Source organism: Homo sapiens, chromosome 12 (genome assembly GCF_000001405.40).
Source record: "Homo sapiens chromosome 12, GRCh38.p14 Primary Assembly".
Classification (NCBI taxonomy): domain Eukaryota; kingdom Metazoa; phylum Chordata; class Mammalia; order Primates; family Hominidae; genus Homo; species Homo sapiens.
In genome coordinates, this window is record NC_000012.12 from 44,517,711 (window position 1) to 44,530,078 (window position 12,368).

General features: G+C 36.5%; 1 protein-coding gene across 6 annotated transcripts in view; it reads right to left on the reverse strand.

The window, feature by feature from the left end:
• NELL2 (neural EGFL like 2) overlaps positions 1-12,368 on the reverse strand; it is a 413,574-nt gene that overhangs the window by 9,436 nt on the left and 391,770 nt on the right. For all 6 annotated transcript variants that reach the window (XM_011538396.2, NM_006159.2, NM_001145110.2 and 3 more), the window contains 3 exons: positions 5,581-5,774; positions 4,290-4,466; positions 2,295-2,519 (listed from right to left, as the gene is read on the reverse strand). In XM_011538396.2, coding sequence (XP_011536698.1) covers positions 2,295-2,519; positions 4,290-4,466; positions 5,581-5,774 — 596 coding nt within the window. The remainder of the gene's footprint in view (positions 1-2,294; positions 2,520-4,289; positions 4,467-5,580; positions 5,775-12,368) is intronic.

Consider the following 12,368-nt stretch of genomic DNA (forward strand, 5'->3'; position numbering starts at 1 on the left):
GGCTACTGACTAGCATATTGAACAACAGAGTGCCAGATAATAAGCTGATAGAGAATAATTTCCAAGGGTGACTGTGTCTGGTTTTGCTTATCATTATACACCTGGTACCAGCACAATGCCCCACACGGTGTGTATTTATCAATTAGAAACAAATAACTCAGAGGGGAGTAGAATGGAGACATAATAAATAAAATAGTGCTTTCAAAGCACTAAATTGTGAAGAATGCTTACCTCTAATGCAATACTTGAAGCTTGTTTTGCATAAACTTTATTTTCAAAATAACACAAAATAAATGTAATAAAAATGAGTACTTGAGATAAATTTGACAAAACTGAGCATATTTTTATGACTCATATTTAATAACAAGAGATAAAGAAAATAGTATTTAATAGTAACTTCTATGAATCAGTACTTATCTGACAGAAAGAAATGACTTTAATATCAAAATACACTTTCTGGAATATATTCCTATCAAAAGCTGAGAGATTATAGTAGTTGTTTATAAGGTAGTGAATGACAAACTCATTCAAATACTTTTTTTTTTTTTTTCTGAGATGGAGTCTCGCTCTGTTGCCCAGGCTGGAGGGCAGTGGCACAATCTCAGCTCACTGCAAGCTCCACCTCCCGGGTTCACGCCATTCTCCTACCTCAGCCTCCTGAGTAGCTGGGACTACAGGCACCCACCACCATGCCTGGCTAATTTTTTGTATTTTTTAGTAGAGACGGGGTTTCACCGTGTTAGCCAGGATGGTCTCGATCTCCTGACCTTGTGATCCGCCCACCTCAGCCTCCCAAAATGCTGGGATTACAGGCGTGAGCCACCGTGCCCGGCCTCATTCAAATTCTTTACCCCAGAAAACAGTCTGAGTTGTTTTCCTGCCTATTACTGTATGCATTTTTCTTACTGGAAATATCCATCTGTGCTATATTTCATTTTTGTCCATCACTCAATATATATTTTTGTCACTATTGCTCAGAAGAATAATCTCACAGAAAGATTAAGGGTGTAAGAGGACTCAACTCTATTTGGTAATTAAATGACAGAAAGTATTTCCCTGTTAGTCATTAGTGCTAAGTTTCAAGATATGCACTATTAAGTATACACATATTAAATGTATATTAAAGGAACATCGCATATACATTATTAGTAACTTTTAGTAATAGTAACTTTTAAATTTGCTAATGCATTTCATAAAACAGCAGTAAATGTTCACTCAAAAAGCTTTGCTTGATTGACAAATTGCATTGATTGAAAGAACTAGAAATTTGAGCTTGAAATAGATAAAAATGGCATCTCAAAGCTTAAAGCATTTTATATTTCTTTGTCCTGTTACTTCAATCTACTCTGGTAAGAATTTGTAGTAAGTGAATCTGAATTAAATTGCTCTGTAGGAAAAAAATTACAAAATGGAAATGCTCACTTAAAAAAATCAGAGCAGTTACAGATATCTGGCTATGTTATGCTGAGAAAAATCTGACACGTCTGCTATTTAGTTGTTACTGTTAAGCCTTCAGGTTATTTATTTAGTTTTAGTGTTGATTACAAAATTATGACTATAAAGCATAATGGCCACAAAATTAAATTTTTGTAGAAATAATAATCAAATTAGAATGCTTCCAACATTGTCACTAATCTACAAACTCTATATGCTCTGCCTATATTCATTGTATTTGTGCTCTCATTGAAGCAAAAGGCACAGAGCTCTATTTTCCAATGAGAATAAGGAGAAAGAGCTTTGTAATGGTTTTTCTCCAACTGTATGAATAAAATATGGTAAAAAACAGATCTTAAATGTTTCAACTCAATGTAACTGACCACAACAAACCAAGAAATATGCCCATCTTTGCCATATTGATTTCCACTTTGGAAAATGTAATAAATCTACTTCACTTATGTATCTTACGGACCTTGTAAAAGAACCAGCTAAAAATCAATAAAACAATATTGTCTCCTATCATGAAAGAAGAAACATGAGGTTTGTTGTTTCAGCTTTTTTAAAAGATGTGTACGGTTAGATATCTAGGACAATTTAAGTAGCTTGTTTCTATGTTGGTGATATAAATAACGGATCATTCTGGTTTTAGTCCATGCACTATCCTTGAATATACATCAGATGGATGTCCATGACAGCCCTGGAACTAACAGCTGAGTGGCATTCCGCCCACCTATGTTTGAAAAATAAACAGGAAAAAAAAAAAAAACCTTCCTATTGTCCAGGTAGAGCACATTATTATCTATGAGCCCTGGGTGCAGCTGGCAAAGTGCTCACTATTTAAATTTAATGGAGTTTACCTTGCACTGGCAGAGAGTACACTCAGTGCCATGTTTGATCCAAGAGGACCCGGTGAAGCGAACCACATTCATTTCGTCCAGGCAAGTCTTGGTGATGTCATTGCGGATGGTGTCAGCCTGGCAAGGGTCTGTGACACAGCGCGGGCAGCACTCATTCTCTGGGAGAATGCTGAATTCACACTCCACATCTGGGCAAGGCAGGGGCCAACAATCAACTTCCCCTTGCTACAAGGAAAGCAGATGTGCAAGGGCAGAGGGAGAGGGAGGAGGAAATGGAGGGAGGCCAGGAAAAAGCAGATGAGCACAGTGTTTACTGAATACTCAATTATTTGATTGATATTTAAACTTAGATCTACAAAGCCCATGAATCTTTCAGGGAATCTATTAACACAAAAGCCCTATCAGAATGATGAATTCTGTATTGCAGCTTGATTTTCAAACAATCTTCAGGATTTAAATAACACCAATAAAACAAAAGCAAAAATCACTCATCTTAAAACAATAAAATGTGCATGCCCCTATCTTTCCCATGACAAAGGAGAGAGGTTTCAATTTAACGTTTTTGCCCATGTGATATCTTTTTCATTCTTTTGCTATTTTTTCTAACCTATTATTAATTCCTTTATGCATAAAGAATGTTTTGTCCATTTACAAGAAAATAAACTAAAATATGAAGGCAATATGATGGTTTTTCTTTGTTCATTTATATATTTTTCAGTGTAGAGACTTTGAAAAAAAAAGAAACAAATCCTAGGAATTGATTTCATTCCTTTTTAATTCCACACAGGAAAATTGTGTGAATTGGATCTTTTTAAAAATGTAGTTCCCACCTGTTTCCTATTTTCTTCATAATTCTGAATCTCATGGTTTGGGAGATGAAAGCAGCCTTCGGGCACAGAAACTGACCTTGCTCTTTCCATTGATTTTTGGGTTGAAAGTATAAAAAGGAAGGAACAAAAAAGCTTTGCCTTAAAAATAACCTCACACAAATAGAAAGAAACTGGCCATAACTTTAAAAGTAGCATCTTCTGTGAAAGTTTTCGCTATAAAGACACATAGACCAATTTTCCTTTTCATTTACACCACTAGAAACAAGAAATTCGTTCAACTGAAAAAAGACTTTATCAAGTCATTACTTTCTTCTTACTTATTGTTTCTAGTAAAAGTTTTATAAATATATAGAGAAATTCAATTCTAATATGTATTTATTGCATATCCATATTATGTGCAAAACAAGGTGCCCATCAGAAGCATTGAAAATAACAATCTTTAGAAGGTTGCTTTGGGAGGCCGAGGCGGGCGGATCACGAGGTCAGGAGATCGAGACCATCCCGGCTAAAACGGTGAAACCCCGTCTCTACTAAAAATACAAAAAATTAGCCGGGCGTAGTGGCGGGCGCCTGTAGTCCCAGCTACTTGGGAGGCTGAGGCAGGAGAATGGCGTGAACCCGGGAGGCGGAGCTTGCAGTGAGCCGAGATGGTGCCACTGCACTCCAGCCTGGGCGACAGAGCGAGACTCCGTCTCAAAAAAAAAAAAAGAAGGTTGCGGTGGTGGGGGAGGCGGAGTTGCTTTGTTTTTTAAGTCTAAACATAACTGACAGAAATGGGTTAACAAAAGTTCTACTTGGAAAAAAGAGTATTTTTTTTATGAATGCCATTGTTCTATCAATATTTGTCTTTAAGTTAGCCTAAACAGGATAGGAATGGGGAAGCTAGGAGAGTCTTTTCTTTTGAGCTATGGAGATACTCCTGAAAGAGACATACATTACTGTCAGTGAAAGACTATTCAACACCTTGTACCACATCTACCTCAGAATATTCCTTCTTGGGTTGTGATCGTGTAACTATCACCTCATCATCCTAACCAGGCTCACTGTTTATAACTGTCAACACTGTGGCCTGGTGCTAGGTATTGGCAGATGGGGAGGACGAGGTTGCTTCTCTATTTAGATTCTGGGCCTAAATTTTCTTTCCACTTCATGTAGCTAAATTTACCAAGCAGCGGCACTGTTGACAATTCTGGACCCAGGTGTCACCACTGTTATACAAAGTTTCCCCATTTTGATGGAGGCACTGACTACTAAGCCTTGGGTCACATTCAGGGCAGCAAAAAAGATCAACTGTGGGATTCTCACAGTCACAGACCATCCGTCGACACATAACGAATCCATTCTGTATGAAAAAGAAAAAAAGCAGTTACCAAAAACCTCCATTTCTCAGTAACACGCACACACACACACGCACACACATTTCAGATGGTGACTTGGAAGTTGAAATAATTCACACTGCTTATCTGATATAATAAATTTTCTTTAGCATTTCTTTTTTTAGCTAACACAAAGAAATTACCTAAGCTGGAGGATTTTCAATTTCCTTTCCACATACTACTCCTCAAATGACCAGAAAATATTTTTTTTCAGAAATGACCAGCATAAAATAACCACTGTGTATATAAATGTCTTCATTTATACGTAAGTATATATTTGTATATTAGTATGGTAAGTTGCATACTAACTAAATTTTGTTTTGTTTGAGGACATGTGTTTTAATATTTCATAGTTAATAACATATATATATTACTAAATTTCTGGAGTATTTAAAACCTATGTTTTTGTATAAACTGTTATCAATTTCTTTTATGACAGTTGGGTTCTTGGTACATAATATTATTCATCTGAAAATAATTTGAGCATTTATTATAACTAGGTACATATAACAGAATACCTATCTAAAACTGAAATATACACCAAATAAATATTTTTCACTCTTGGATCACAGCATGTTCATTCTGACTTTATTTATGCAGTCATTCAAACATGATACTGTGACTAGGAAAAAATTAGCATGGTTAGTAATAAAATTTTATCAACATGTGGATAGATAAATACATTGGTATATCCATACAATGAAATATTATTCGGTATTAAAAAGAAATGGATTAGAGATATAGGTACAATAGGATTGAATCTCAAAAACATAATGTTGAGAGAATGAAGTCAGACACAATATAGTATATACTATAAAACTCCATTTATATGAGGCTCTAGAAAATACAAATTTAATCAATAGGGACTGGATGCAGTTTTTGCCTGGATCTAAGGTTGTGGGACTAACTAGGAAAGAACATAGGCAACATTTGGGATAATGGAAGTGTTCTGTTATATTAATTGTGATGGTAGGTAAGTGGATGTACACATTGTCAAAACTCATCAAGCCATATACACACTTAAAACATATGCAAATTACAACTGAATAAAATTAATTAAAGTTTTTCATTTATACCAACCTGACATGAGCACACAGAGCACCTGTCATTTTCCAACACCCAAATCTGACCATTGTGCTTAACTTTTCCATCATGGATGCAGTCCCCTGTGCAATTCTTTCCATGAGGACATCGACAATCATATCCGCCATCCAAATTGAAGCAAATGGTATCATTGGCACAGCTGTGCCTCCCGGTCCCACACTCATCAATATCTATAGACAAGAAAAAGCAGCACTCAATGTGCTTAGAATATGTGCAGTTTCAAACAACTGCAATCAGGCCAGTTGTCTCCTGACATAAGGTATTCAACTGTAAATTAATTTTCATCTTACTGGCTTGCATTTGTGATTAAATGTTGACTAAAGCAATGTTAATGATCTGGGGATTTCACAGGAAAATATTATCATGTTTGATTTAAAAAATCAGGTAACCTTGGCTAGAATTTCAACTTTTATATCTCTGTAAATAACATTAGGCTTTATGAAACATTTTTATTTTTGAGAGTAAGAATATGACTCAATTTACCAAACAAAAACAGTTTAGCAGTGGAAATTCTAAAAGTGCCTATGATACTTTAATGGGGATATCATCCCCAGTGTTAAACTGGTGATTATAGAAAAATCCCTTCTTAGTGGGAGATGAAATGTCATGAGATCCCTGCAGCATTTTATGCAATATCAAGCCTTATTCTCGCGGCTGCACCTGCCCCCCTCCATGAAGCTCTTTCCATTGTTCTGCCTAGGTGATCTTCCCTTGCATTCCAGGCATTTTCATACAGTCCTTAGACCTTGACTCTCAACCACAGAAGGGCAAATAATAATCAGCAATTACCATCTCTCTTACAAAGAAACCACTATTTTTTAACTTTTCCATTTCAGATTATCATTTTGTCCCCTGTCTAACTCAACTGGCAACTGCCCATACTTCACCTGGCCTCACCTATTTCATGGCCATCACAGCCTAAAGCGTTTTCATACAGATGAAAAGCAAACATATCGTGACCCACAGATCAGGTCCATAAGAGGAGATGGGATTCATTTTTATTTACCCCCGTAATTTAAAGGTCACAAGCCAAAATACATTTCAGAGACATGGTATGAGTGGCAATAAGTAGTTATTTCCCATTTCATCAGTTGCCTCTGAGTAAAGGTCAAGAAAGAAAGAATTAAATCATGGCAGAAGTGGGTTAGAGACAAGATGGAGTGTATAGCTTTTAACTAGGGCGCTGTATACTGATTCTCCTTGAAGATTTTAAAAATAAAGTTTAGGAAATATCTTTTTCAAATGGTTGGACTTCAACATTAACTGAAGACTTGGACTAGTAAAAACTTGGCAATTTTAAATTTCTTATATACTTAAATTCTGCCATATATGTATTCCTGAAAGTAAGCCACAGGACATTTTTTTTCTATTTGCCTTGATTTTTATTAGTTCCCACTTCAACAAAACTAATGGATTGGATCAATAGCCGAAAAAGTGATTACAGAGCTTTATTAAGCTTGATTTGTTAAGGATAATATTACTTATTATCGTAGACTATGATCAGAAAGAAAACTGCTAGCCAGGATGAGAATATATATTTTTTAAATTAAGTACTATGGTTAATGTGTATTTTTTCAGATTAGAGAAAATTTTTCTCTTTGTAATAAAAATTAAATTTTATTAGCTAGTTTTATATTTGGTCTATTTGGAATGATATGGTACATCTGATGAGTTGATATTTGTCTCCCATTACATATTTCTAGAATTAAGAATTATAATAAGCCAGAAAAACATAAACAAACCATAGTTATTTGGTCTCTTTGACAACAAGCTCTACAGACATCCTTACTACATAGCCTTTTTATGGTCTACTATAAGGACATTATTCCATGAATGGCAATGGCCGAATTTTTGCAATCATTTTATTTTGCTTGACACTTTAAAATAAAAGCTGTGTTATCAGATAATACTTTTTTCCCCCTTATAGGCAGAAAGATTCCACAGGATTGCTGCAAGGGACAAAGAAGAGATATCCAGGCACAAGACGAATATGTATACTTAAATAAAGCACATCTATAATAAAGAAATAGAGTAAAAAGTTGCTCATAACGATGGTTGGCATGTACTTGTTATACCTGGAAAAATGTGTGGGCAGATGCATCATAATGGACTAACTACAACCTCTTGCTATCCAAGGAGTTTGAGTTAGTTTGAACTCAGCTTGCCTTTTCTGCTTATTATCTACACTGGCTCTGACAATGCAGAAACTTTTCCCAACTAACTGGTGGTATAGAATTTTGGAACCCATTTTTACACATAGTTTGGTTATAACAAGATTCCCAAATTAAATATCTATACAAGGTGTGTATTCTGCTTTGAAAAACCTATCATGGCATACACAAATTCCAACTTTAAAAATATTGATAACTCCTTTAGTGAGCGATTATTGAAGAACTAATGTTGCTAAATCCATTTGTCAGTGTCAGCTGTCATGTAACTTGGTCTAGCAGAGCATTTGACACAACTTACTCCCTCTCCTTGATACATTTTCCCTACTTGCTTCCTATCACACTGGTAGCTCTTCCTGGTTCTTTTTTTGTCTATACATTCTCTAGGTTTGGCAATTATACTATGATTAATATTTTGCCATGCAAAGAGTAGGTAAAGAGTGGTCTAGAGTGTTTTTGAGGCAAGAGCGTGCTTGAAGGCCCAACGTCTAGAGCTATCAAGATGTGCTGGAGAAACAGAAGTGCTGGTATGACTGGAATGTTCAGTGAGAGAGCAGAGTAAACAGCATGTAGCTGAAGAGCTACTCAGGGCCCAGGTAAAGGTCATGTTAAGAAATTTGAACTTTTTCATAAAGCCAATAAAATGTCATTTTAGAGAAATGCAAAAAAAAAATCACAATCTGATTTTCATTTTAGACAGGTCCCTTTGGGTTCATTTTGGAAAAGAGATTTGAATGGATTAGAATTTGGAGCCAGGAGACCAGTTAATAACTGTTTCCTTGGTTCAGGCAAAAGATGATCATACAATAAAAGCAGAGTCTCATAGTGGTTGGAATGTACCAGACTCTGAGTACTTTCCTTATAATGATTTATTTAATCTTCACAACAACCCTCGAAGATATAATTAAATTTTGATTCTCACTTTATAAATCAGGAAATTGAGACATAATACTGTTACATAACTTGCCCAAAATGACACAGCCACACAGCCAGTAGGCCCAGATGGGAACTGAAGCAATCATGCTCTAAGCCTGTGTTCTTAAGTACCATGCTACACTGAGTTGGGGACTCAGTGGGGACATTGCTATACACTGCAGCAATGGGGACGCATAGAAAGAGACAACAGAGAGAATTAACACAACATAGTGATTTGTTGGCTTTGAAGATTAGAAAGAGAGATCAAGAACGATGTATAGATTTCTGGCGTGGAAAATATGGTTGACGTTATTTATGGAAAGAAGAGCAAGATTTTGCTGCGGAGCAGAAGAATGGGGAGGGATGAAGGCAGAAGTGTTCAGTCTAGGACTGGCTGAATTGCACTTCCTCTGGGCTTCCACCAGGGCTGTTCAGTAAGTAGTTGGATATGTGTGTGGGGGGCTCAGAAAATAGGATTGGGCCAAAATGTGGGTTTGATGCAGATTACTTTCATCACCTCCTTTCTCAAAAAGAGCCCTTCATACGCATGTTCAAACTTCGTAGTACGGTATTTAGAGCTACCTCTTGTTTGCAATCATTTTCCCTATCTCGACTTGGCAATAATCTCATCATACTTAGCAAAGTCCTAAAGCAAATACTAGGTACTCTGAGAAGCCTTCCTTGATGTTAAAGAGCAAATAATTTCTCTTTGTTCCTTCACAGCATGACATTTATATTTTTTCTCAAAATCAAATGCTTTTCTCAATCACAGCGTTGGGCTTGAACAGAATATTTAAAATACTATCATGTAAACTTCATTTTTTTGGTATCAAAAGTTCAAAAAACTTCACCAAACTTAAAGATTGTCCAGAAACTAAAGCAATAATGGGACATGTGGGCATAAATATATTTATGTGGAAAAAGATACTGGACTGTGTCTCAGACAGAGACAAAATTTTAGGCACAGTGGAAATGGGGGATGGATAAGGAAAATAGGACTCTGGCCTGTTACTTCAGGATGAAATGTCTAAATCTCTGAGATAAATGGATGAGCAAAACAGCAAACAATTTGTATGAATGCAGCTTATAAACATGTATGTTGTAGATCACACAACTGTAACCTAAAAAGTAATGACACAGTGAAGTTATTTATTCATGCCTCCAAGTATGAGTCTTACACTTCAGAGTAATTGTAAAGCTACCATTGTGGCTTTGTCTACTTTCTTTCCCCCAGCAACAGAAAAATAGCACCTTCTCTGAGATAATCATACTCTTAAAATGAATCCTTCTAAATACTAATATTACAATTCTACACATCACGGAAATCGCAGTAAATGGAGAGTTGTTTAGAAGTATTATTTTTATCTTTTTTAAAAAATATAACTTAGATGTGTTCTTTTAAAAAACTCCTTCATGCCGGGCACGCTGGCTCATGCCTGTAATCCCAGCACTTTGGGAGGCCGAGGCGGACGGATCACGAGGTCAGGAGACTGAGACCATCTCTGGCTAACACGGTGAAACCCCGTCTCTACTAAAAATACAAAAAATTAGCCCGGCGTGGTGGCGGGCGCCTGTAGTCCCAGCTACTCGGGAGGCTGAGGCAGGAGAATGGCGTGAACCGGGGAGGTGGAGCTTGCTTGCAGTGAGCCGAGATCGCCTCACTGCACTCCAGCCTGGGCGACAGAGCGAGACTCCGTCTCAAAAAAAAAAAAAAAAAAAAAAAAAAAAAAGAATCCTTCAGAGCATGTTGTACTCTGACAGAGTAGTAGGTTTTTCTGATAATCTTTATAAATTTTATTGGTAGAATCATCTTTCCAGAAGAGTTTTTTTTTGTTGTTTTTTGTTTTTTTAAATAAGGTTTTTCACTGCTCCTATGTTTGCGGGTTTCCTTGAAAGGCCTTTCCTATGAAGATGAATCCTCTACTTTGCTGTCTTCCTATTTGTAATGTGTTATTTTGATGTTTAGTTTAATTATCCTTGTTACTTTCTGGGCTGAACACTCGTGAATGCATTAATTATGTTTTATCCTGATCATTATTATGTATCTACTTTTAACTACATATACATATCCAGTATATGTCATACTAATATCTACATTCCAACATAGGTTATGTGCCTGATGCATTTCTAATGAAGAGATTAGCTATCTATTATTTACCTCAATCTTTTCATTGGACAAATAAATGTATCATCTACTATGTGCCAGACACTGCTCTAGGCATTGGAGATATGATAGCTGACAAGCAAACACAAACTATGACCTTTGAAACTTACATTCTAAAGCAGATAATAAGCAAGCAAACACATAAATACATACTATAATTTCAGGTGACTTTATAATTTCTATCAAAAAAAGTGAAGCAGGGTAAGTGAATAGAGTGTCAGAGGTGGGAGACTATTTTAAATTAGCAGTCCAGGAGAAACCATTTGAGAAGAAATTTGAATTAAATGAAAGAAGAACCATGCAAAGATCTAGGGGAAGGGCATTCCACATAAAGTGACAGTACATGCAAAGAAATCTGTTTCATATATTTTAGAAATGGTAAGAAGGCAAAGGATGCATATCATGTGAGCCCTTGTCAACCATGGTCAGGGTTTGCATATTGCTTTGAGAGAGGTGGAGAGGCTCCACGAGTGTGAACAGAGGAGTAACATGATCTAACTTCAGTTCTAGAAGAATCACTCTGAATGTTATTAAAAAAAGACTCTAGGGGAATTGGGTGTGGAAGTAGGAAGACCAGTTTGGAAGCTGCTATAGTGGTTCAGGCAAAAGGTAGTAATGGCTTAGATTAAGATGTTAACAGAGGTGGTGAGGGGTGGTCAGACTGGGAATATATTTTGAAAGTTGAAACTGTGAGATTTGTTAATGTATGGAATGTGAGATATGAGGAAAAGAAGGAAGGAAACAATGACTCTAAGATGTAGTTCTGGGCAACTATGTTAAGGGACCTGTAGGACTTAGAAAGTAAATGAAAAGTTCTGTTTTAGTCGTATTAAGTCTGAGTTGTCTATTAGAAGTCCAAGTTGAGCTACCTAGTAGGCCACTAGATGTAGAATCTGCAGCCAGGGCAGAGGTCTGAATTAGGGATACATAGACGGCATTTTAAGCCATGAAACTGGTTGACTTAGGGATTGAGAATGGATAGAAAAGACTGACAAGGCCTGAGTCCTGGGGCATTTGCGAGAGTGAAAGAAAAGGCCTGTAGGAGAAAGGAGAAAAACCAGGAGAGAGTGGGGTACCTGAAGCCAAGTGAGGAAAATTATGTTTCGAGAGAAAGGAATGATCAACTGAGTCAAATCCCTGAGTGGCTGATCAAGGAGATAGTAACTGATCAGTTAATTTGGCGAAGTGGAAATTGTTAGTAATCTTGAAAGAAAAGCATTGGCTGGAGCAGTGAGACTAAAGTGTCACTGGAAGGAAGAAGGCAGAGATAACAAGTATTGAAAATATTTTCAAGGAATTTTGTTCTAAAGGGGACAGAAAATTGGGAGATATGTCTGTAGAATCAGATGATGTCAAGGGAAGTTACTTTTTGTTTGCTTTTGTTTTGTTTTCAAAGATGGCCGCCACTCCTGACTCTTTGAACACTGATAGGAATGATGCAGTTGAAAAAGACTTAACTATATGGAAGAGAAAATTAATATTATATGGGCAGAATCCTTAAATAGGTGAGAGAGGAT